Consider the following 27188-nt stretch of genomic DNA (forward strand, 5'->3'; position numbering starts at 1 on the left):
CTTAGGGAAAATAGAAAAGAACCTACATGAAATATCGGGGGTGAATTTCGCCCGATAGAGTGCTACCCAGAGGGAGCTGATAATGAGGGCATCTGAGTGACAAGGGCCCTTTAGGCCAAGCTTCAAGAGGGAAAGTGGGTAATGCGGTGTTTCTACTAGAAAGGCAGTGGCAACCCCACAGCAGACTCTGGGAAGTTTTCACAGTAGCTTTCTGCTGTGTAGGAACTCTGCTGTTAACCTTTCCACTTCAGCCTGAAGCTACCCCAAAAATTTCTGGACCCCCCCACCAACCCCAGTCTTGAATGAGAGACTCTGCAACCTTATCGTAGACCCACCCGTGACTCACAGGCAGATCTGCTGCCTAGACACACTCTTTTCAGTGGAGTGAACTTCATCTTCCTGAGACTTTTTGAAGATCTCAGGGAGATGAGATTATTATTTTAGTCGGTCCATCTGGCCATATAGAGTACATGACCCAAATAATGTCTCCTCCAACCCATCCCTCTCTACCTAAGAATATTTTTGCAAATCCCATTGCATGTGGTGAATGACTATCTTTTCAATAAATAACCCCAAAGCACCAGAAGACCTGGGACTATCCCTGTAGTCCCAGCTACTTGGGAGGCTGAGGTGGGAGGATTGCTTGAACCCAGGAGGCAGAGGTTGCAGTGAGCCATGATTGCACCACTGCACTCCAACTTGGGTGACAGAGACAGACCCTGTCTCAAAAAAAAAAAAAAAAGCACCAGAAAACTCTTCTCAGCAGAGGTGCTCGGATTGATTTAAGGATGGATCTTGGGAGAGAACCTGCCATGTTAAATGTAGCTGGGCCTCCCTTAGAGACGTTGAATATTTAATGTATCCTGAACACCCTTCAGGTGCCACTGAATACTTTTTTTTTTTGTGACGGGGTCTCGCTCTGTCAGCCAGGCTGGAGTGCAGTGGTGCGATCACGGCTCACTGCAACCTCCAACTCCTGGGTTCAAGCGATTCTCCTGCCTCAGCCTCCCGAGTAGCTGGCACTACAGGTGCATGCCACCACGCCCGGCTAATTATTTTGTGTTTTTAGTAGAGACGGGGTTTCACTGTGTTAGCCAGAATGGTCTCGAGCTCCTGACCTCGTGATCCACCCACCTTGGCCTCCCAAAGTGCTGGGATTACAAGTGTGAGCCACTGCTCTTGGCCGCCACTAAATATTTTAACTTTTCCACCAGATGAACAGGAAATGTCAGTGATGGACCGAAGAAAACATTCCAAAAACTATTTCCTTTTGTCACTAGGGTTTGCTAAGCCTAGATAGCCTCAGACTCAGCCTGGAAGAGGACAGAGGAGCCCTTCTGAAGGTAAATGTTTTACTGGATACAGTTAATCTATTAGAGTTATGCTTGTCACTTAATTTGTGAGTGCAAATTATTTCAAGACAGTGTAGCTTTTACATACTCTCCTGTTAAAAGCACTGATATTCTGCAAAGTAACAAATTCCTTCCTAGCTTAGCAAAGGATGATAATGAGTTATTGGTAGTATCACCATCAAGCTCTTATTTGCATAAGTAAAATGAAGTTAACATGTGGATAAAATAAAACTTAAAAATGAAATATTGTTAAAATAATTAATGAATTTAGACACATTATTGAGCAGGTACGTTTGGCAACTGATTGGAATAGAGCATTTAATTAGTCTCGTTGAGTCAAAAATCAATATTGAACATTATACAGCACATCAGAATTATATTAATTTCCTCCTCTGTTAATATTTGTATCATTTCTACCATGAATCTCAAGCCCTTTCTTCTGGGGGTCAGACTCCGTGCATCAGGAGGGAGATAGGGTGTCAGATCACCCTTTGTTCTTGCAGAGAGGGTGACTAACCAATCCTGAAACCCAGGAGTACCCCACTTGATCTTCTTAAAATAAACTCTCCAGAGATGTATCGCAAAATCTGAGTGCTAACCTTATTCTGCACCAAGTTCAGCTTAGGGAGGGAAATTAAGAATCTCAGTTGTGGGCAGGGTGAGGTGGCTCATACCTGTAATCCCAGGACTTTGGGAGGCCAGTACAGGCAAATCACTTGAGGCCAGGTGTTCGAGACCAGCCCTGCCAACATGGCAAAACTCTGTCTCTACTAAAAATACAAAAATTAGCTGGGCGAGTGGCTCATGCCTGTAGTCCCAGCTACTTGGGAGGCTGAGGCACGATAATCGCTTGAACCCAGGAGGCGGATGGTTGCAGTCAGCCAAGATTGCACCACTGCACTCCAGCCTTGGCAACAGAGCCAGACTGTGTCTCAAAAAAAAGAAAAGAAAAGAAAAGAAACCCAGTTGTGGACTGAAGTCAGGCAGGACTTTTATGGGGTTCCTCAGGTTTTGTGGTATTAGTGGCTGGGAAGCACCTGCTTCCATTCTTCCCATCAATCCTGATCTCAGATATCCTGTGGATGCTTAATTCTATTAGCTCTGTTAATTATTATTTATAATAATTCTATCAGTATTATATATCACCTCTGATATATAATTGGCTAGGCCAGGGTACTCAAGTACCAGATAGAGTTGACTCCAGTCAACTCTATCTGGGTGTTGCTGTGAAGGCTTTTGTTTGTTTTTTAAACATGAGATTGACATTTTAATTAGTAGATGTTGAACAAAACAGATTAATCTCAATAATGTGAGTGGGCCTTTTCCAATCAGTTGAAGGATATTGAAGCAGGGTCTCACTCTATTACCCAAGCTGGAGAGCAGTGGTGCAATCATAGCTCACTGCAGCCTTAAAGTCCTGGGTTCAAGCAATCCTCCCACCTTTGCCTCCTGAGTAGCTGGGACTACAGGTGCATGCCACCATGCCTGACTAATTTTTTAATTTTTGTAGAGATGAAGCCTCACTATGTTCCCAAGCTGGTCTGGAGCTCTTGGTCTTTAGTGATCCTCCTACTTTGGCCTTAACTTCAGGTAAAGACTGACTTGCCCTGAGGAAAAAGGGAATTCTGCCTGTACACTGCTTTTGGACTCACACTACAACATCAACTCTTCCCTGGGTCTCCATCCTACCAAGTTATTCTGCAGATTTTGAACTGGCCTCTGTAATTGCATGAGCCAATTTCTTAAACTCTTTCTTTCTCTCCTCCACCCCCAACGTGTGTGTGTATGAATGAAATAGGAAGGAAACAATGAAATAGAACCTCCTATTGGTTCTGTTTCTTGGGAGACCTTGATTAATACGCTACTTAAGATATGGGGCCCTCATTTGTCCTGACCATGTCTCAGGGGAGGCCCATGAGGTTCCATCTCCGGAGGCCACCAGCCAGGAGACTCTGAGATCACTTTCAGTTACAAGGAAATTACAGTAGTGCCTGGGTCAATGACTTCCTTAATCAATAGGTCAATGGATTCCATAGTCAACTTGAGAGTAATCCCTTTCGTAGTTGTCTTGAGAGTAGTGGCTTCCATAGTCATCTTGAGAGTAGAATATAGTCAAGATGACAATGAAAGCCAGTGGCCTACTGACTTGGGAATAGAAGGGGGATTATTCTCTAACCTACAGTGGACACTGTAGATTCTCCCTTGAGTGTGACTGGGTCCCCTTAGGTCATATGTCTCCCCTGACCTTGCCAGGAGGACACCATGCAACTAAGTAGCTTAGACCAGAAATTGGAAAAGTATAGCCTGTGGTACAACATCCAACTCGCCATCTGTTTTTTTATGGCCAATGAGCAAAAAATGGTTTTTACATTTTAAATGGTTGGAAAAAAATTGAAAGGAGAATAATATTTTATGACGTGAAATTATATCAAATTAATTTTCAGGGCTCATATATACATTTTATTGGAACACAATCACACCCATTGGCTTGTATATCCTCTGTGGCTGCTTTCTTGATACAATGGCAGAGTTGAATAGTTGCAACAGTGTCTTAGTCCCTTTTTTTTTTTTGTACTTAGCTATTTAATTAGGTTCTTAAGACATTTAGAACACCAATTTGTGAGGATAAATTCCATTCGTCAGGGCAAACACAGATCGCAGGTAGCCCTGGAGCTGAGAAATAGCTTTGACTTTTGGTAAAATTTGTGAGTCCACAGCTTTCTGATCAATCTTGCGCTGCTCTGTAATCTCATATTTCTCTTTTTCTGTGTCGAAGATGTTGCCTTCCTGGTGTCTGGGCTTCCGCAGCTGCTGCTTCTTGAAGTAAGCATCAGTAAGATGTTTTGGGATTTTTACATTGCTGATATCGATTTTGGTTGAGGTGGCAATGACAAATTTCTGGTGTGTTCCTCGTAGAGGAACTCAATTGAGGACCAGAGGTCCAGTCACAAGTAACAAGCCACTAGCCAGCTGCTTCAGGAAAACCACCCTCTTGCCCCTGTGGCATCCAGTGAGGATGATCAGAATGGTCCCAGGGGTAATGCTGGCTTGCAGTTTTCTCACATGCTGACTGAAGGGTTTTTTGCTGTGGCTCAACAGCTTTCGAGGTACATCTTCGGTAGGATAGTATCTAGGCATTTTGTGAAGTTTAACCACCTGGGTACCACCATTCTTGTCACCACCAACTGGTTTTGTAACAGTTGCAAGAACCTTCTCCTTTTTCTTTTCAATCTTTGATTTAGCGGCTGAGTACTTCCTCTTATACATGGCCTTTCTAGAATACATGGCAGATCGGGAATACCTGCCAGTTCCTCTGACAAGGACAGGGTTGTGGCTGCAATAGGGCTTCCCCTTCTTGGGCTTTTTAACTTTAAGATTACCCTCTTGCACCTTGCCACCAGCATCAGCCTTCTTGGCTTCGGGTTTCTTCTCTTTAGTATCTGGCTTCTCAACTTTTTCACCTGCCATCTTGCAAGATGGGAAAGAGCGTCTTATTCCCTTTTTGTGCTGTTATAATACAGTAACTGATACTGGGTAATTTGTAATGAATGCATATATTTTTTCTTTTATTTAGAGATGGAGTCTTGCTTTGTCACCCAGGCTGAAGTGCAGTGGCATGATCACAGCTCATTGCAGCCTCGAACTCCTAGGTGCAAGGGAACCTCCCACCTTGGCCTTCCTAGTAGCTGGAACTACAGGCATGCATCACCACACCAAGCTAATTTTTAAATTTTATTTAGAGGTGGGGCTTCCTCTGTTGCCCAGACTGGTCAGGAAAATCCTGGCCTCAAATTATTCCTGCCTCAAATTCCTGAGTCACTGGGATTATAGGCATGAGTTACTGCACCTGGAAATTTATTGGCTCAGAGTTCCAGAGGCTGGGAAGTCCAAGATCAAGGGGCTGGCATCTGGCAAGGAGGCTCTTCTTGCTGCATCTTCCCATGGCAAAGGGGCAAAAAGTGTGAGAGAGAGCAAGAGGTCCAATTCAGAGCCTCAAGCCCTTTCATAATCAGCATTAATCCATTCATGAGAGTGGAGCCTTCGAAACTTAAACACCTCCCATCACTGTTGCATTGGGGATTAACTTTCCAACACATACTTTTTAGGATACACATTAAAACCATAGCAAATAGAGACCATATGGCTCACAAATCTAAAATATTTACTCTCTGTTCCTTTACAGAAAATGTTTGTCTATGCTTGGTTTAGATTTGTTGCTGTCCATGTATACCTAGAACTGGGAATGAGGGCTGTGTGGATGAGGGGCAGACATTTTAACAAGATCAGGATTTTATTAAGAAGGAAGAAAGACGGAATTAATACAGTATAGGAAGTCAGTGCTGTTCCCTACACATGAGACTTCTCAGACTCAGTTTTCCCATCTACAATTGTGAGATATAGCAAAATATATATTATGGGAAATTGTTGAGAATTCAGGAGAAGGCATGTAGACATAACTGATTGACAGATTCATGAAATAGCTGCCTGGATGATTACGTGGTTAGATGGATGGATTGATGGATGGATGAATAAACGGATGGATGGATGGGTGGGTGGGTGGGTGGGTGGATGGATGGATGAATAGATGGGTGGATGGGTGAGGGATGGCTGCCTGGATGGTTGGATGGATGGATGGATGGATGGGTGAATGGATGGATGGATGGATGGATGGATGCAGGGACGGATGGAGGGAGGGATGGATAGATGGATGGGTGGAGGGATGGATGGATGCATGGATGCATGGATGGATGGATGGATGACTGGTTGGATGGGTGTGTGGATGGATGGAGGATAGATAGGTGGATGGATAGGGAATGGTTAAAGTGAGGCTGGGAAGATAAACTAGCCCATATTATGTCAAATAGTTCTGGCTTTATTCTGCAACCATGGGGAGCCTTTTAAGTACTTAAGCAGAGAATGACAAGGTGACATTTGCATTTGAAAGAGATACCATGGCATTTTGTAGCTGTCTAGAGCAGAGAGGTCATTTGATTGAAGAGCAAAAGGAACAAAATTATTGCGGGATCTGGCCAGCAGCCCGCAATGCAACGGGGCTCTCTGTTCCCAGGCAGATCGGCAGGTTGAGAAATAATAGACACACACAAGATAGTGAAAGCTGGGTCCAGGGGAGTCACCGCCTTCTGGTCCTGCAGTGCCAACAATGCACTGGATATGCCAGCATTTATTATTAAGTTTAGTGAGGGCGGGGGTAGGTTAGTGAGGGATTTAGGGTCATTTGATAATGAGGTGAGATGGTCACATGGGGATGAAGTAATTCTTTAACATAACATTTGTATGTAGAAGTACAGTACATTTGTATGTAGAGGTACTGCATAGAGAGATAAGAATTTACAATATAGTGTGTGCGTCAGTAATTTCTAACAGAGCCTTAAAACAAACACAATCTTTCCATAACCTATGATTAACAAGATATTAATCAGCAGTAACAATTGCAACAAAAGCTGGTTACAAACAATCCATGGAAACAGGAGGTGAAGCTAGACATCTGGTTAGACCAGAAATTCTCAGAAGGGAGTATGCCTTAACCCTAAAGAGGCCTAGAAGAGCCGTGGCAAGATGAGGGTGTTTATGGCCCTATCGTACCCATATGGACAGGCGCCCCCCCATGCGTCCATTTATAGGCTCTCCACGAGGGTCGCCTTCCATTCCCAGAGCTATGAACATCTTTTCTGGGATAGGAATCTTGATGATGTGAAACCTCCCTGACTGCATGTCCATTCACAGGCTCTCTGCAGGGGGAAGCACATCACGTGCTGTTGGCTTGTTCTGGCAGTCCAACCTGGCATTGTCTTTACACAATCCTGCATGCAATTTTGTATTTACAATAATCAGGAGCATTTCATCTTTTATTCCATAGCAATAGTTTCAGGGGATCTCCCTACAGGTTAAGAAATGCGTAGTTTATTGTCACCTTTGTTCAGTTCTTGAGAGATGAATGGGTGATTTGGCGCTATTGGATGTGGGAAGGGTGGAATGACAAGAGCATTCTAGGACTTGAAGCAAGGCTGCTTGAAATAGCATTTGGCAAGGCTCCAGACCTAAGGAAATCATGTAGAGGCTGTGGTTTTCTAAAACCCCCCTAGGTAATGTTGATGTTTAGCCAGGTGCAGAATGCAGCCTGAAGGAATGAGAGTTTCATATTAGAAGGAGCCCCTTAAAATTGCACTAATATTTGAAATTTGGGTAGGGCAACTAAGAAACTGACTTTGTGATTTCATTTCAATTAATTTACATTTGAAAACTGAGGCAATACAAAATATTTTTCCCTGGGAGGCTTAAGCAGGAGAATCGCTTGAACCTGGGTGACAGAGTTTGCAATGAGCTGAGAGAGCACCACTGCACTCCAGCCTGGGTGACAGAGAAAGACCTTGTCTCAAAAAAACCCCAAAAATTAAATAAATAAAAATTTAGCATCTGGCCAGGCATGGTGGCTCATGCCTGTAATCCCAGCACTTTGGGAGGCTGAGGTGGGTGGATCACCTGAGGTTGGGAGTTTGAGACCAGCCTGACCAACATGGAGAAACCCCGTCTCTACTAAAAAAAAAAAAACAACAAAAAACAAAATTAGCTGGGCGTGGTGGTGCATGCCTGTAATCCCAGCTACTCAGGAAGTTGAGGCAGGAGAATCGCTTGAACCTGGGAGGCGGAGGTTGTGGTGAGCCGAGATTGTGCCATTGCACTCCAGCCTGGGCAACAAGAGCAAAACTCCATCACTCCCGCCAAAAAAAAAAAAAAAAAATAGCATCTAAATTGAGATGTATTAATTGTAACTTATGCTTTGTATTTCATAGATATATTTTTAAAAATCAAGTATTTAGTTTGTAAATATTTTTGATATTGCCTTAAATCAAATTATATTATTATTATTTTTTTCTTTTTTTTTTTGAGATTCTTCATGTGATTCTTCTGCCTCAGCCTCCCATGTAGCTGGGACTACAGGTGCCCGCCACCATGCCCAGCTAATTTTTTGTATTTTAGTAGAGACTGGGTTTCACCATGTTGGCCAGGATGGTCTCGATCTCCTGACCTCGTGATCCCCCCGCCTCGGCCTCCCAAAGTGCTGGGATTACAGGCATGAGCCACCGTGCCTGGCCAAAAGTATATTATTAATATTAAATCCATCTGATTCTGTTGGACAGTGCTTACTTAGAACAATATGAAAGATTTGAAGTGCTACATACTTAAATCCACCCTCAATTCTTTTTTTTTTGAGACAGAATCTTGCTCTGTCACCCAGGCCAGAGTGCAGTGGTGCGATCTCGGCTCACTGCAACCTCTACCTCCCAGGTTCAAGTGATTCTCCTGCCTCAGCCTCCCAAGTAGCTGGGATTACATGCATGTGCCACCATGCCTGGCTAATTTTTGTATTTTTAGTAGAGATGAGGTTTCACCATGTTGACCAGGCTGGTCTTGAACTCAGGAAGCCACCCTCAATTCTGATACTAATTCTGTAAGGGTGTGAGTTGATACAAGATTAGGTTCTGAAAATGTTTGTCAGAGCAACCATTAGAGTGTAATCTCCATAAATCTGGTATCTTTTTTATTTTCTTAACCATTCCTAGAGCATGTTTTAGGTACTCTATAAGTATTTGTTGCATGAAGGCACTGAGGCAGAAGGAGTATGAGTAGAGGACATGGGCTGGATGGAAGAGGTGCTAAGTAGATCGACTCTGCTGAACTTCGTGGCTGAATTTGGGTCTTGAACACAGGGATATTTTGAGAGGAGTCTTGGGTTATTATTAAGTGGGTATTGGGATTAAAGCAGCTATGGGGAAGAGGTTACTCATAACTTTTAGACATGGTTGAGTTTTGTTGTTTTTTTTTGACACCGAGTGTCGCTCTGTTGCCTAGGCTGGAGGGCCGTGGTGCTGCCTTGGCTCACTGCAACTTCCGCCTCCCATGTTCAAGATATTCTCCTGCCTCACCCTCCTGAGTAGCTGGGATTATAGGCACCTGCCACCATGTCCAGCTCATTTTTGTGATGGGGTTTCACCATGTTGGCCAGACTGGTCTCAAACTCCTGACCTCAGGTGATTTGTTCGCCTTGGCCTCCCAAAGTGCTGGGATTACAGGCATGAGCCACCGTGCCTGGCCAAGACGTGGTTGACTTTTGTCTGGTGAAGATATCCAGTTGGTGGTTGACTGAGTTTGGAATTCAGGAGAAAGATCTTGTCTTGATAGGGGAGTTATCAGCAAATAAGTGTAGGTTGATGCCAAGCATGTGGACAAGTGGAGAGATTGGACAGAGCACAAAAGGGAACACCATCATTTATAGGTGGGCATGGGAACCAGCAAAGGTAAGTGAAATAAAGAGTGAAGAATTGAAGCGAGTTTCCTAAAGAAGTGAGTAATAGTATCACAAGATATTCTAGTCAGGTGTGGGGCCTCCCAACACTTTGGGAGTCTGAGCCAGGAGGATCCCTGGAGCCCAGGAGTTTGAGACCAGCATGGGCAACATAATGAGACCTTGTCTCTACAAAAAATTTAAAAATTAGCCAGGCATGATGGTGCATGCCTGCATTCCCAGCTACTTTGGAGGCTGAGGCAGGAGGAGGCTCGAACCCAGGAATTCGATGGTGCAGTCAGTTGTGATCCTGCCGCTGAACTGTAGCCTGGGCAACAAACCCTGTCTCCAATATATATACACACACACACACACACACACATATATATGTATATATATACACATGTATATATATACATACACATATGTATATATATACACACACACATGTGTGATATGATATATATGATTCTGGAATTCCATTGAATTTGCCAGTGGGGACTACGTCGGGTTGGTGAATCTTGAATAGTTTCAATGTAGTGGTGGAAACAAAAACCTAAATTGTAGTAGATTGAAGAGTGCATTTTAGACAGACAGTGATTGCAGACAATTATTTGGAGGACTTTGGTTGTAAAATGGTGCAGTGTGTTAGGGTAGGAGCTAACTACTCCTGGAAGGTTTGGTTTGGTTTCCTTTCTTCTTTTCTTCTTCCTTCCTTCCTTCCCTCCCTTCTTTCTCTTTCTTTCTTTCCTTTTTTTTCTTTCCCTTCCTTCCTTTCTTCTCTCTCTCTCCCTCTCTCTCCTTCCTGCCTGCTTTCTTTCTTTTCTCTTCTCTTCTCTTTTCTTTTCTTTCATTTTTAGTAGAGCTGGGATTTTGCCATGTTAGCCAGGATGGTCTTGATCTGATCTCGTGATCCACCCGCTTCAACCTCCAAAAGTGCTGGGATCACAGGCGTGAGCCACCACCCAGGTTTTGTTTTCTTAAGATAGGAAAGACTTGCTTGTTGTTGCCTGTGGGGAAAGAGACAGCAGGGGAAGATTTACAGCTCTCCAAACTTTGGCTCCAGAAAGCTCTCTAATTTTTCTCTTAGGAATGTGTAAACACTTCTGTGCACATTGCCACCAGCTAAGTGCTGATGGTAAATAAATACTCAGTATTCTTGCAGCTTATGTTCTTAGAAAGCTGAGACAGAAATAGACATTACTTTTTTCTTTAAGGGGTAACATTAGAGAAACTGAGTAGAGACTGAAGACCACAGGGGCAATAGTGAAATAACTAAAAGCCTAAACTTGGATTGGTGCCTTGTCGCATCATGAATTAACTAGTTATCTGACGGCCTTCTGCTTGGAGTTAGGCAAGGTCCCTGAAAGTTATCTTTGATCATGAGGGAGCATTCCATGAAGGATGATTTGATACTGGCTAACCCCTAGTGGAAAACAAGATTTGTCATAGGAAGAATCTCCTGAACTCTTAAGGAGCATTTAAATGGTATTTGAATTTAAAAAAAAGGAGGCGGCGGGGGGTAACCGGGTGCAGTGGCTCACCTGTAATCCCAACACTTTGGGAGGCTGAGGCAGGCAGATCACCTGAGGTTTGAAGTTCGAGAGCAGCCTGGCCGACATGGTGAAACCCTGTCTCTACTAAAAATACAAAAATTACCCGGGTGTGGTGGCAGGTGCCTGTAATTCCAGCTACTCGAGAGGCTGAGGCAGGTGAACTGCTTGAACTCGGGAGGTGGAGGTTGCAGTGAGCAGAAGTCACACCTTTGCACTCTGCCTGGGCAACAAGAGGGAAACTCCATCTCAAAAAAAAAAAGAAAAAAGAGGAGAAAGGAAAAATAAATGTTTTCCTGTATAAAGGTAAAATTAAAATTAAGAAGTGAGAGATGTGCTTTGGGAATATTCAATCATGGGGGACACTCAACTGAGGACACCATATAGTTCATAGCACCAGCAAATTTTAAAAATATTGAGGTAGGCTGGGCACAGTGGCTCACACCTATGAATCCAGCACTTTGGGAGGCTGAAGTGGGCTGATCACTTGAGGTCAGGAGTTTAAGACCAGCCTGGAAAACATGGCGAAACCCTGTCTTTACTAAAAACACACACACACAAAAATTAGCTGAGCATGGTGGCACATGCCCCAGCTACTTGAGAAGTTGAAGCAGAAGAATTGCTTGAACCTGGGAGGCGAAGGCTGCAAGGAGCTGAGATCGCACTACTGCACTCCAGCCTGGGCGAAACAGTGAGACTCCATCTAAAAAAAAATTAGATATTACAAAAGTGCAATTCCACATGTTTTACTTAAATCAGATAGCAAATTCTGTGTTTTTGAATAATTTAATTGATGATGACAAAATAATTTTTAGAAAATTTTATCACTAACTTGTTAAAAATGGATGGCACTTCCAATGAACCTTTGGCAGAATACTGATGATTCTTTTCTCAGATCTGATTAGCACCATAGGACTGACAGTGGCATAGGCATTGACCACAAACTTGTGGACACTGTCGATGACAGGGCTGAATACCCATAACAGCATTTTGGAGGATGAGACAATTAAGTCCAATGAGTACATAACCACGAAGAAACTCACCAGCAGCAAGATGGTCTTGGTGGCCCTTTTCTCTGGGGAGGTTCTTAATAAAAAGCTAGTGCTGTGAAGGTGCTGGGAGCACCTCTGATGCCTGGACAAGAGAATCACCATGAAGGCACTTGAGAGCGGCATGATTCCTACAAGGAAGACATCTCTGGATAACGACAGAGTAACAAACAGCCTTCTGATGGTGACATTCATTGGGGAAAGTGAGCAGTATTTACTGACATTCAGAATTATCTGGGTCACACTGGAAAAACCTACAATGTAGATTATCATGTCACTGTTGAAAGACAAATTGAGGGACCAAAAAAAGAGTAAACCCAGGATATGTTATTTTATGTTTAAATCTCACCAACCAGGAGGTGCTGGGGCTGATGGTGATGATCTGAAGCATGCTCAGGAGAGAGGTGGTGCAGATCAAGAGGCCCCTCATTACCTTGTATATGTAGAACACAGCCTTACATCTGAAGTTATTCTGAAAATTCTGTGACTCAAACACGTCTAGAGACAATAACTCTGCTGCCATGACTAGCATCACTATGTAGACAGAAACCAAGTGACAGATGATCAGGTCATGGTTTTTTAGGCTTGTGATCCTTAAAGAATGTAAAAATGTGCCAGAGAAGAAGAAAGATGTTGGCTGAGATTCCAATGCCAGCTTGAAAACAAAAGGCCTTTTGAAAGATAACATGTGAAATGTGTGTTCATCCTAATGACATAGAAGAAACATTTTGAAGACCTGAAAAAAGTAGATCTGTGTCATCAATGTCCTTTTGTCAGTGTTCAAAATTATTACCATTATTATTTTTATTTTACTCTCATTTCTTGATTAACCCCATCTTATATAAATTCTTGATAATGTATCTCCTATACTATTTCCTAAACCAAATAAATATATACATATATAATTATTATGAATCTCTATATAGTAAATACATTTTCAATTTTGCCTAAGGTGCATACTATCTATATTCCTTATGTACCTTGGCCTTCATCTCAGTAATCATATCCTTATTCTATGTTCTCATTTTATATTTAGCACTTCAGTCAGGCATATAAAATGAATAGTATTTGTACAGTTGAATTAAATGTATGTTAATGTGAAAAGACTCAATAAAAAGTATAGTCAGTTGAGTCTCAGGATCTATCATTTTGATACAATTTATTCATCATCACTTTTCCTTCCATGATTTTTGACCCTTGTGATTTTACTGGACTCACCATGATAAATTCATGATATTTCATCAGCATAAAGCAATTTTCATCCTATCTGCACCCTTATATTCTCTTTGTCATGAATTATAATGTGTAATGTGATATCTTGGAATTCAGATGTCAATATCCTTAGAGGGACTGGGGGACATTGTTCTGCTTAATCAAACCCTAATTTACTGTGTATAATATAGAAATGGTTCTGGCTGTCTCTGTTTAGTTCATATCCCAGAGATTTATTATGTGATTTCTCTTTATCTCAGAACACATTTTTTAATATTTTCCTCTCAGTTACCAACAAAATAAATACTACCATTTTTTTTTTTTTGAGACAGTGTTACTCTGTTGCCCAGGCTGGAGTGCAGTGGCATGATCTCTGCTCACTACAAACTCTGCCTCCTGGGTTCAAGCGATTCTCCTGCCTTAGCCTCCCAAGTGGCGCTCACCGCTACACCAGCTAATTTTTCTATTTTAGTAGAGAAGATTTCACCATGTTGGCCAGGCTGGTCTCAAACTTCTGACCTTCCAAAGTGCTGGGATTACAGGCGTGGGCCACCGAGCCTGGCCATTACTTTTAATTACTTTGTTTCGGGCCGAGGGCAGTGGCTCACGTCTGTAATCTCAGCACTTTGGGAGGCCAAGGTGGGCGGATCATGTGGTCAGGAGATCGAGACCATCCTGGCTAACATGGTGAAACCCCATCTCTACCAAAAATACAAAAATATTAGCCGGGCGTGGTGGTGGGCACCTGTAGTCCCAGCTACTCGGGAGGCTGAGGCAGGAGAATGGCATGAACCCAGGAAGCGGAGCTTGCAGTGAGCCGAGATCTCGCCACTGCACTCCAGCCTGGGTGACAGAGCGAGACTCTGTCTCAACAAAAAAAAAAAAAAAAAGTCTTTGTTTCACCATGAAGTTGCATCAAAATAGTCACATGTTGGTCTTCTTCCTGAGACTTCACTTAATACAGAGATACTCTACCATGCCTAGAAAAATACTTAAGTCTTAGTCTGAGTATTCAGTAAGAATACTGTCTTCAATAAGACTATTCAGTAAGATAAAAAATACTTCAATAAGATCTTCAATAAGATCAAAAATACTTAGTCTTCAATAAGAAAGATAATTTCTCTCAAGTTTTCTTGTGATAACTTCAATACTATAACACCTTGTAAAATTTTGCAGAACAATTTTGCAGTTACAATTTCATGTTATTTGGCCAAGATTCTGATGTCATTTATCATTTTACTTTAATCTAGGACTAAGAACAATTTAGCTTCATGACATTAAAAAAGTGAAACACCATTAAACTCACTCGGATTTTTTTTAAATGAAAGTGTGTCAGATTCAAGGTCACTTATCATTATACAATTCCATAAATAAAAATATATGAGACGGTGCAAAAATGTTGACACTGAGTATCCTTGGACAATAATCAAAAATTAGTGACTGAGAAAAAGTTGCTCTAAAACCACCAGATATGTTTGATTTTATAAAGCAAACATCTAGTTGATTAAATGGTTATTACTCTTTCTACAAAACTTTAATAAGTAAATCCATTTATCTTGGAAACAATGAAAGATTTCCACCAGCACACATCTACACCATCAGCGCAGTTCAGTTCTGCTGTCAAGTTGAAATCAGAAAAAAAAAGTAATTTTAAATTAAAGACTTAATGGTATCCAAATTTTAAGGATCACATTTCAGTACTAGAAAAATATATTTGAACATAAGATAATAATATATGTATAATGAGTTATTAACTATATATCTGTATAGTTTTATTAATATAACCCATATGTTATGAACCACACACCAAAAGAAGATATAGGACAAAGAATTAGATTAAATAACATAAATAAGAATTTTAATATTTTATTTTTTCACCCTAAAAAAATCCAGTTTATGCTCTCAAATTCATTCTCCTTACTCTGTAAATAACCTAAACACACTGAAACAGAATAATCTTCTGCTTGATCAGATGGTGTATTTTTTCCATTGAGGCTCTTGAGAGCATTGATGCTGATCCCAGACAAGATCAGCAATCTTGGTTGTCACACTCTTGGTTGTCATAAATTAGAGCACACAAATAGGGTATGATTGAATTGATTGTATCTTCAAAAATTTTTCTCACCTGCCAGAGCTAAACAATTGATAATTGCCTTTAACATATTAATCCAAATATTAAATTTAGCCGTGTTCTATATTGTTATTTGATAAATCTAGCAACTACACCATGGAAGAATTATGGAATTTGCATTAATATGATGCCAAACTGGGTGAAACAAAATAGGGGAAAAATCCATAGATGCTGCTTTTAGGTTGTTCAGAGTGAAAAAAAAAATTGGTTCTATGTGACCCATTGAAAATTTCAAAATCTCAATGCACAGCTTAGCTCTCGCCATTAGAAGTGACAACCTAAGGCTGCTGGGGCTGAGGGTGAAGCTCCTGAGCACGCTCAGTAAACACATAATGCAGCTCAAGTTTACTCTCATTACACTGCCTTTCACTGTAGTGTATTCTCAATATTTTTAAGTCCCAAAATGTGTAAATAATCATGTATAAGAGGGGAATAACGCCATTATACAGACCAGGAATGAAAATCTGATCATAAAAAAACATAAGCTTAGATCAGACATCTGAAGCAAAGATAAAGGGTGTATAAAAGGAAAAAGGCAACTACAGGAATCCAAAAGCTGTTTTGCATATGATGGGTATGTTATTTGTAGAAAAAGAAGTTTGATAAAATATACTTCCTCATCGTTATTATAAAATATAGTTTTTTAGTATTTTATTAGTAATATTTATTTTATTAGTAATACTATTTGAATAGTGATTGTCCCTTGTGTAGATTTAAAATATAATCTTTATAAATGTAAATTTTTTAATTGTATTAATAAAAAGCCTTATTTTTTATTTTTTTTATTTTTATTTTTTTTTATTTATTATTATTATACTTTAAGTTTTAGGGTACATGTGCACAATGTGCAGGTTAGTTACATATGTATACATGTGCCATGCTGGTGCGCTGCACCCACTAACTCGTCATCTAGCATTAGGTATATCTCCCAATGCTATCCCTCCCCCATCCCCCCAACCCACTACAGTCCCCAGAGTGTGATGTTCCCCTTCCTGTGTCCATGTGTTCTCATTGTTCAGTTCCCACCTATGAGTGAGAATATGTGGTGTTTGGTTTTTTGTTCTTGTGATAGTTTACTGAGAATGATGATTTCCAATTTCATCCATGTCCCTACAAAGGACATGAACTCATCGTTTTTTATGGCTGCATAGTATTCCATGGTGTATATGTGCCACATTTTCTTAATCCAGTCTATCATTGTTGGACATTTGGGTTGGTTCCAAGTCTTTGCTATTGTGAATAATGCCACAATAAACATACGTGTGCATGTGTCTTTATAGCAGCATGATTTATAGTCCTTTGGGTATATACCCAGTAATGGGATGGCTGGGTCAAATGGTATTTCAGTTCTAGATCCCTGAGGAATCACCACACTGACTTCCACAATGGTTGAACTAGTTTACAGTCCCACCAACAGTGTAAAAGTGTTCCTATTTCTCCACATCCTCTCCAGCACCTGTTGTTTCCTGACTTTTTAATGATTGCCATTCTAACTGGTGTGAGATGGTATCTCATTGTGGTTTTGATTTGCATTTCTCTGATGGCCAGTGATGGTGAGCATTTTTTCATGTGTTTTTTGGCTGCATAAATGTCTTCTTTTGAGAAGTGTCTGTTCATGTCCTTCGCCCACTTTTTGATGGGGTTGTTTGTTTTTTTCTTGTAAATGTGTTTGAGTTCATTATAGATTCTGGATATTAGCCCTTTGTCAGCTGAGTAGGTTGCGAAAATTTTCTCCCACTTTGTAGATTGCCTGTTCACTCTGATGGTAGTTTCTTTTGCTGTGCAGAAGCTCTTTAGTTTAATTAGATCCCATTTGTCAATTTTGGCTTTTGTTGCCATTGCTTTTGGTGTTTTAGACATGAAGTCCTTGCCCATGCCTATGTCCTGAATGGTAATGCCTAGGTTTTCTTCTAGGGTTTTTATGGTTTTAGGTCGAACGTTCAAGTCTTTAATCCATCTTGAACTGATTTTTGTATAATGTGTAAGGAAGGGATCCAGTTTCAGCTTTCTACATATGGCTAGCCAGTTTTCCCAGCACCATTTGTTAAATAGGGAATCCTTTCTCCATTGCTTGTTTTTCTCAGGTTTGTCAAAGATCAGATAGTTGTAGATACGCGGCGTTATTTCTGAGGGCTCTGTTCTGTTCCATTGATCTACATCTCTGTTTTGGTACCAGTACCATGCTGTTTTGGTTACTGTAGCCTTGTAGTATAGTTTGAAGTCAGGTAGTGTGATGCCTCCAGCTTTGTTCTTTTGGCTCAGGATTGACTTGGTGATGCGGGCTCTTTTTTGGTTCCATATGAACTTTAAAGTAGTTTTTTCCAATTCTGTGAAGAAAGGCATTGGTAGCTTTATGGGGATGGCATTGAATCTGTAAATTACCTTGGGCAGTATGGCCATTTTCACGATGTTGATTCTTCCTACCCATGAGCATGGAATGTTCTTCTTTGTTTGTATCCTCTTTTATTTCCTTAAGCAGTGGTTTGTAGTTCTTCTTGAAGAGGTCCTTCACATCCCTTGTAAGTTGGATTCCTAGGTATTTTATTCTCTTTGAAGCAATTGTGAATGGGAGTTCACTCATGATTTGGCTCTGTTTGTCTGTTGTTGGTGTATAAGAATGCTTGTGATTTTTGTACATTGATTTTGTATCCTGAGACTTTGCTGAAGTTGCTTATCAGCTTAAGGAGATTTTGGGCTGAGACAATGGGGTTTTCTAGATATACAATCATGTCGTCTGCAAACAGGGACAATTTGACTTCCTCTTCTCCTAATTGAATACCCTTTATTTCCTTCTCCTGCCTACTTGCCTTAGCCAGAACTCCCAACACTATGTTGAATAGGAGTGGTGAGAGAGGGCATCCCTGTCTTGTGCCAGTTTTCAAAGGGAATGCTTCCAGTTTTTGCCCATTCAGTATGATATTGGCTGTGGGTTTGTCATAGATAGCTCTTATTATTTTGAGATACGTCCCATCAATACCTAATTTATTGAGAGTTTTTAACATGAAGGGTTGTTGAATTTTTTCAAAAGCCATTTCTGCATCTATTGAGATAATCGTGTGGTTTTTGTCTTTGGTTCTGTTTATATGCTGGATTACATTTATTGATTTGCGTATATTGAACCAGCCTTGCATCCCAGGGATGAAGCCCACTTGATCATGGTGGATAAGCTTTTTGATGTGCTGCTGGATTCGGTTTGCCAGTATTTTATTGAGGATTTTTGCATCAATGTTCATCAAGGATATAGGTCTAAAATTCTCTTTTTTGGTTGTGTCTCTGCCTGGCTTTGGTATCAGGATGATGCTGGCCTCATAAAATGAGTTAGGGAGGATTCCCTCTTTTTCTGTTGATTAGAATAGTTTCAGAAGGAATGGTACCAGTTCCTCCTTGTACCTCTGGTAGAATTCGGCTGTGAATCCATCTGGTCCTGGACTCTTTTTGGTTGGTAAGCTATTGATTATTGCCACAGTTTCAGATCCTGTTATTGGTCTATTCAGACATTCAACTTCTTCCTGGTTTAGTCTTGGGAGAGTGTATGTGTCGAGGAATTTATCCATTTCTTCTAGATTTTCTAGTTTATTTGCGTAGAGGTGTTTGTAGTATTCTGTGATGGTAGTTTGTATTTCTGTGGGATCGGTGGTGATATCCCCTTTATCATTTTTTATTGCGTCTATTTGATTCTTCTCTCTTTTTTTTCTTTATTAGTCTTGCTAGCGGTCTATCAATTTTGTTGATCCTTTAAAAAAACCAGCTCCTGGATTCATTAATTTTTTGAAGGGTTTTTTGTGTCTCTATTTCCTTCAGTTCTGCTCTGATTTTAGTTATTTCTTGCCTTCTGCTAGCTTTTGAATGTGTTTGCTCTTGCTTTTCTAGTTCTTTTAATTGTGATGTTAGGGTGTCAATTTTGGATCTTTCCTGAAAAAGCCTTATTTTTATCATACATTTTACAACATTCATTGAGCAGCCTTATCAGCCCTATGAAATTTAGGTGCCAGGGAGAAGGGGCAATAAATGGCAAACTGAAAAATCCGGTCGGCAAATTTAGAAAAGTAAAACGTTTCCACCAAGATTAGGCCTGTTAAGAAGTTTTATAAAATACACCAAGACTAAAATAATAAATATGGTAAGTATCAGATGCATCAAATGATTGTAATGCATTTGCCACTCTTTGCAAGTTGAAATTAGTGTAGACGGCAGCTAGAAGCTGCTTGCTGACACGGATATTTATAATTTCAAGACATTTAATTCTCAGCTTCGTTGGAGGAAAAAATAAGCAGGAAAATTATTACTTTAAATGTAGGCAATAGAAAAATATTGGAGGGTCTTGATCACAAATTCTATGCTACCAATTTTGAAAAAGTCTAAAATCCTTTTGGAAGAGTGTTTCTTTCTGATTATTTCAACTGAGGAGATACCAGCTAAGTGTAACACTCACTTTTTCCTAAAAATGTGAAAGGTCTTGTACAATCGTGCACCTGTGAATCACATTATAGATTAGGCCTGTCTTACCAAATGAGTCAAATACTGAATTTGGAGGAATATTTCCAAGTTGAAAATTGTGATCGGGAAAACCGCATCTTCTATTCTTTGTGTACACTTACTATGAGCAGTTGAGGTCCTTTCTTCCTAAATACATAAAATGCAGATATTTGAAGCATTTAGAAATGCTTTTATTTCCCTAATGTTCAGAGACATAGTGATTTTGTACTATTATATTTCTTTGAGGGCTTGATGCCCTTATGAGCCACAATTAGACAACCATTATTATCTTTTTCTTTTCTGTTTTGACTTCTCCTTACTCCTTTCTCTCTTTTATATGTTAAAAATCACAGAGCTAGAAAGCATTATTTCCTAATAAAGTTAGACAAAATTAACTTCTACATTTTAACAGCAAAATTAAAATATACTGACCACATTCATGAATATATTTTTAATATGTAAATTGCAAATTTGAAACTTACAGAAAAAACTGTAAGAATGCAAAACTTGGAGAATTTTTTATAATAATAAGATGCTATTTTCTTCAAATTTTGAAGATTATTATTCTCTCATTATTATAAATGTTACCCAAACTAATATATAGAACATTTTGTTTTGACTTAATAAAACAAAATAACTTATTATATTAGCTGTTCATAGTAATAAAATATAATACACTAAAGCTGAATTTGTTTTACAAATTTGTATAGTATTACAAGTTTTACATGTGTAATGTAGTGATTAACTCTACAAAATGTGATAAATGACAAGAGGAGATATTTGTTTACAGTTTCATGGTAACCAGAACCAAATCCTGTATGTGCTACCACACCACAATAAAACAAAATAATTTTATGGTTATTCACTGAAAGCTAATTAATGTAAAATATTAAATAGTAATCATGCTTTGAGATGACTGTAAACATTATAATATACTGTAGTTTTCAACTTTAAAAGAACAAACAAGTATGACTAAATTCTTATGAATTCAGATTTCTCATGTTTCAAAAAATAAAATTTTGGCTAGGTATATACAGTAAGTTAAACTGAGAAAAAACTAGTATAATAACAAAATACAACTACAATTTAAATACAATATTACAAAATTAACAAAGTATTTATAAGATCAATATATTATTACATCAGTATTCATAAAGTTGCTTTTCTCATTTGGAATCATCTATTGTACTTAGATATGATTCACTGAGACATGACTGAAATTAGGAAAAGACAATGATCCTAGCTCTTCATTGAGAAAATTCTGCCTCATCCCACCACTCGCCTGAGTCTTCAGCTCTCACTGTTAATAATGCTGACAGACAGACAGTCACCCAGCTGAGTCTTTGGAGTGAGTCCATGTTTGTAAGATGAGGCTCACACTATGTGGTTATAAGGAAGCAATGCCATCAGCCCATTCCCTCCAGGCTTATAATTTTCACGTCAACTATAAAGATAGTACAAGCTCTGGTTTTGTGATTTTAAGAAAGGGAACCATCAAGGGAAAATGAAACTTTTTGATTCCTAGAAAATACATTAGAAACAGCCATGCTCCAACTTTTCCATGTGTAAGCTTATTTCCCCAGGTATATTCAGCCCAGTGGGTTGTATGGTGTCTGTTCTTATAAACAAAACAGTGATCTCCCAATTACCCAACCTTCAAAATTGGTAAAACACAATGTCAGATTTTCCACTGCATTACTACTGGTTCAAGTAATTCATGGTTGCCCTCACTAATGTTCCCTAGTAATCTCTGATTTTCATGGTAAGAAGTAGACTAAAAGCACCTTTGTGAGAATCAGAAAAATCCCACCTCTATCAGACCTAAATGGGCAAAGTGCTCCATTTTCCTGAGGACACAGTTCTGAGTCAGGGCACTAGACATGGGAGCAAAATGTAGGCTGCTTTATACCTCTCACTACTTTGTCTGGGTACATTTATAGAGTATAGAAATGCACATCTATTTCAAGCAATGAGTGTTTGGATACAAACTGTCCATGCCAAGAGTTTTTTTTTTTTTTAGATATGAAGTATCAAAGGGTTATTCTACCACCCTGACCCTCAGGTTTCTTTGTGGCTTCCACTCACAGGAGTGCTTTACACACTCAGTAGTAGAGCACACATTTTATAGCAAAGGCCATTTTTGTTTTTTGGCTTCTGTGACACCAAACACGATTCTATTAAAACTAAAGTTAATCATAATTATCACTGCCTATTTGCTTTCTTAGTCTAATATTGTATGTTAAATTGTTGTATGTTAAAATAGTGATTTCTGTTTCTATAAGGCACTCAGCCTCTTTAGTTTCAGCATGGCTGTGCTCTCATGCAACATCTTTAATTCTCTAAAAATCATGCCCTTCATTTGGCCTAAGTCAGGACCAAACAACTCACAGACTTTTATTGTCCACAAGTTTAATTCTTCCTGGTCACTGCATCCCCATCCAACATATCATCAGTTGTCATAAATATAATTTTATTTTCAATTCAATTTAAAAACAATTTCATTTCCTTTTTTTAGATCATAATTTAGTTGCCTTTTCTAAGCCTTTCAACTCTATTTAAATCTTTGTGTCTACTCATTGTAGAAAAACTGTCAAGAAGTAATTCTCTGAATGTGAAAGCTATCAATAAAAAATAAAGGCAATATAAGGCCTTCCAGGTAAACAAAAACTGAGTTGATTTCAACTAGGTAAAAATACAAAAATTAGCTGGGTGTGGTGGCGGGTGTCTGTAGTCCCAGCTACTCAGGAGGCTGAGGCAGGAGAATTGCTTGAATCCAGGAGGCAGAGATTGCAGTGAGCCGAGATCATACCAATGCACTCCAGCCTAGGTGACAGGGGGAGACTCCGTTTCAAAAAAGAAAGACTGGGGGTGTTTCCAAGATGGCCGAATAGGAACAGCTCCAGTCTACAGCTCCCAGCATGAGCGACACAACAGACAGGTGATTTCTGCATTTCCACCTGAGGTACTGGGTTCATCTCACTGGGGCTTGTCGGATGGTGGGTACAGGACAGTGGGTGCAGTGCACCGAGTGTGAGCCCAAGCAGGGCAAGGCATTGCCTCACCCAGGAAGCACAAGGGGACGGGGAATTCCCTTTCATAGCCAAGAAAAGCTGTGACAGACGGCATCTGGAAAATTGGGTCACTCCCACCCTAATACTGTGCTTTTCCAACGGTCTTAGTAAACGGCACACCAGGAGATTATATCCCATACCTGGCTTGGAGGGTCCCACACCCATGAAGCCTCGCTCATTGCTGGCACCGCAGTCTGAGATCGAACTGCAAGGTGGCAGTGAGGCTGGGGGAGGGGCGCCCGCCATTGCCGAGGCTTGAGTAGGTAGACAAAGCAGCCAGGAAGCTCGAACTGGGTGGAGCCCACCACAGCTCAAGGAGGCCTGCCTGCCTCTGTAGACTCCACCTCTGGGGGTAGAGCATAGCTGAACAAAAGGCAGCAGAAACCTCTGCAGACTTAAATGTCCCTGTCTGACAGCTTTGAAGAGAGTAGTGGTTCTCCCAGCATGGAGTTTGAGATCTGAGAATGGACAGACTGCCTCCTCAAGTGGGTCCCTGACCCCCGAGTGGCCTAACTGGGAGGCACCCCCCAGTAGGGGCAGACTGACACCTCACACGGCTGGGTACCCCTCTGAGAGGAAACCTCCAGAGGAATGATCAGACAGCAACATTTGCTGTTCAGCAATATTTGCTGTTCTGCAGCCTCCGCTGCTGATACCCAGGCAAACAGGGTCTGGAGTGGACCTCCAGCAAACTCCAACAGACCTGCAGCTGAGGGTCCTGACTGTTAGAAGGAAAACTAACAAACAGAAAGGACATCCACACCAAAACCCCATCTGTACATCACCATCATCAAAGACCTAAGGTAGATAAAACCACAAAGATGGGGAAAAAACAGAGCAGAAAAACTGAAAATTCTAAAAATCAGAGCGCCTCTCCTCCTCCAAAGGAATGCAGCTCCTCACCAGCAACGGAACAAACCTGGATGAAGAATGACTTTGACGAGTTGAGAGAAGGCTTCAGATGATCAAACTTCTCCAAGCTAAAGGAGAAGGTTTGAACCCATCACAAAGAAGTTAAAAACCTTGAAAAAAGATTAGACAGATGGCTAACTAGAATAACCAATGCAGAGAAGTCCTTAAAGGACCTGATGGAGCTGAAAACCATGGCATGAGAACTATGTGACGAATGCACAAGCTTCAGTAGCCGATTTGATCAACTGGAAGAAAGGGTATCAGTGATTGAAGATCAAATCAATGAAATGAAGCGAGAAAAGTTTGGAGAAAAAGAAGTAAAAAGAAACAAAGCCTCCAAGAAATATAGGACTATGTGAAAAGACCAAATCTACATCTGATTGGTGTACCTGAAAGTGACAGGGAGATTGGAAGCAAGATGGAAAACACTCTGCAGGATATTATCCAGGAGAACTTCCCCAACCTAGCAAGACAGGTCAACATTCAAATTCAGGAAATACAGAGAATGCCACAAAGATATTCCTCGAGAAGAGCAACTCCAAGACACATAATTGTCAGATTCACCAAAGTTGAAATGAAGGAAAAAATGTTAAGGGCAGCCAGAGAGAAAGGTCGGGTTACCCACAAAGGGAAGCCCATCAGACTAATAGCAGATCTCTCGGCAGAAACTCTACAAGCCAGAAGAGAGTGGGGGCTGATATTCAACCTTCTTAAAGAAAAGAATTTTCAACCCAGAATTTCATATCCAGCCAAACTAAGCTTCATAAATGAAGGAGAAATAAAATCCTTTACAGACAAGCAAATGCTGAGAGATTTTGTCACCACCAGGCCTGCCCTAAAAGAGCTCCTGAAGAAAGCACTAAATATGGAAAAGAACAACCGGTACCAGCCACTGCAAAAACATGCCAAATTGTAAAGACCGTCAAGGCTAGGAAGAAACTGCATCAACTAACGAGCAAAATAACCAGCAAACATCATAATGACTGGATCAAATTCACACATAACAATATTAACCTTAAATGTAAATGGGCTAAATGCTCCAATTAAAAGACACAGACTGGCAAATTGGATAAAGAGTCAAGACCCATCAGTGTGCTGTATTCAGGAAACCCATCTCACGTGCAGAGAAACACATAGGCTCAAAATAAAGGGATGGAGGAAGATCTACCAAGCAAATGGAAAACGAAAGAGGCAGGGGTTGCAATCCTAGTCTCTGATAAAACAGACTTTAAACCAACAAAGATCAAAAGAGACAAGGCCATTACATAATGGTAAAGGGATCAATTCAACAAGAAGAGCTAACCTAAATATATATGCACCCAATATAGGAGCACCCAGATTCATAAAGCAAGTCCTTAGAGACCTACAAAGAGACTTAGACTCCCACACAATAATAACAGGAGACTTTAACACCCCACTGTCAACATTAGACAGATCAACGAGACAGAAAGTTAAAAAGGATATCCAGGAATGGAATTCAGCTCTGCACCAAGCAGACCTAATAGACATCTACAGAACTCTCCATCCCAAATCAACAGAATATACATTCTTCTCAGCACCACACTGCACCTATTCCAAAATTGACCACATAGTTGGAAGTAAAGCACTCCTCAGCAAATGTAAAAGAACAGAAATTATAACAAACTGTCTCTCAGACCACAGTGCAATCAAACTAGAACTCAGGATTAGAAACTCATTCAAAACCACTCAACTACATGGAAACTGAACAACCTGCTCCTGAATGACTACTGGGTACATAACAAAATGAAGGCAGAAATAAAGATGTTCTTTGAAACCAATGAGAACAAAGACACAACATACCAGAATCTCTGGGACACATTTAAAGCAGTGTGCAGAGGGAAATATATAGCACTAAATGCCCACAAGAGAAAGCAGGAAAGATCTAAAATTGATGCCCTAACATCACAATTAAAAGAACTAGAGAAGCATGAGCAAACACATTCAAAAGCTAGGAGAAGGCAAAAAATAAGATCAGAGCAGAACTGAAGGAGATAGAGACACAAAAAACCCTTCAAAAATTAATGAATCCAGGAGCTGGTTTTTTGAAAAGATCAACAAAATTGATAGACCGCTAGCAAGACTAATAAAGAATAAAAGAGAGAAGAATCAAATAGACACAATAAAGAATGATAAAGGGGATATCACCACTGATCCCACAGAAATACAAACTACCATCAGAGAATACTATAAACACCTCTACACAAATAAACTGGAAAATCTAGAAGAAATGGATAAATTCCTCAACACATACACCCTCCCAAGACTAAATGAGGAAGAAGTTGAATCTCTTAATAGACAAATAACAGGCTGTGAAATTGAGGCAATAATTAATAGCTTACCAACCAGAAAGAGTCCAGGACCAGATGGATTCACAGCCGAATTCTACCAGAGGTACAAGGAGGAACTGGTACCATTCCTTCTGAAACTATTCCAATCAATAGAAAAGGAGGGAATCCTCCCTAACTCATTTTATGAGGCCAGCATCATCCTGATACCAAAGCCTGGCAGAGACACAACAAAGAAAGAGAATTTTAGACCAATATCCCTGATGAACATTGATGCAAAAATCCTCAATAAAATACTGGCAGACTGAATCCAACAGCACATCAAAAAGCTTATCCACCATGATCAAGTGGGCTTCATCCCTGGGATGCAAGGCTGATTTAACATGTGCAAATCAATAAACGGAATCCAGCATATAAACAGAACCAAAGACAAAAACCACATGATTATCTTAATAGATGCAGAAAAGGCCTTCAACAAAATTCAACAGCCCTTCAGGCTAAAAACTCTCAATAAATTAGGTATTGATGGGATGTATCTAAAAATAATAAGAGCTATTTATGACAGACCCACAGCCAATATCATACTGAATGGGCAAAAACTGGAAGCATTCCCTTTGAAAACTGGCACAAGACAGGGATGCCCTCTCTCACCACTCCTATTCAACGTAGTGTTGGAAGTTCTGGCCAGGGCAATCAGGCAGGAGAAAGAAATAAAGGGTATTCAATTAGGAAAAGAGGAAGTCAAATTGTCCCTGTTTGCAGATGAGATGATTGTATATCTAGAGAACCCCATTGTCTCAGCCCAAAATCTCCTTAAGCTG

General features: G+C 40.3%; 1 long non-coding RNA gene and 2 pseudogenes across 1 annotated transcript; 1 reads left to right on the top strand and 2 right to left on the bottom strand.

Moving 5' to 3' along the window:
• Nucleotides 1-1294: 1294 nt before the first annotated feature.
• Nucleotides 1295-13390, top strand: LOC124901655 (uncharacterized). The gene is made up of 2 exons (XR_007060344.1): nt 1295-1343; nt 12616-13390. It is a non-coding gene; the product is annotated as an uncharacterized LOC124901655 (long non-coding RNA).
• On the bottom strand, nt 3923-4839 carry RPL6P20 (ribosomal protein L6 pseudogene 20; annotated as a pseudogene).
• VN1R37P (vomeronasal 1 receptor 37 pseudogene) lies at nt 12038-12948 on the bottom strand (annotated as a pseudogene).
• Nucleotides 13391-27188: the final 13798 nt, after the last annotated feature.

The sequence above is a fragment of the Homo sapiens genome, chromosome 7, assembly GCF_000001405.40.
Source record: "Homo sapiens chromosome 7, GRCh38.p14 Primary Assembly".
In the NCBI taxonomy this organism is placed as follows: domain Eukaryota; kingdom Metazoa; phylum Chordata; class Mammalia; order Primates; family Hominidae; genus Homo; species Homo sapiens.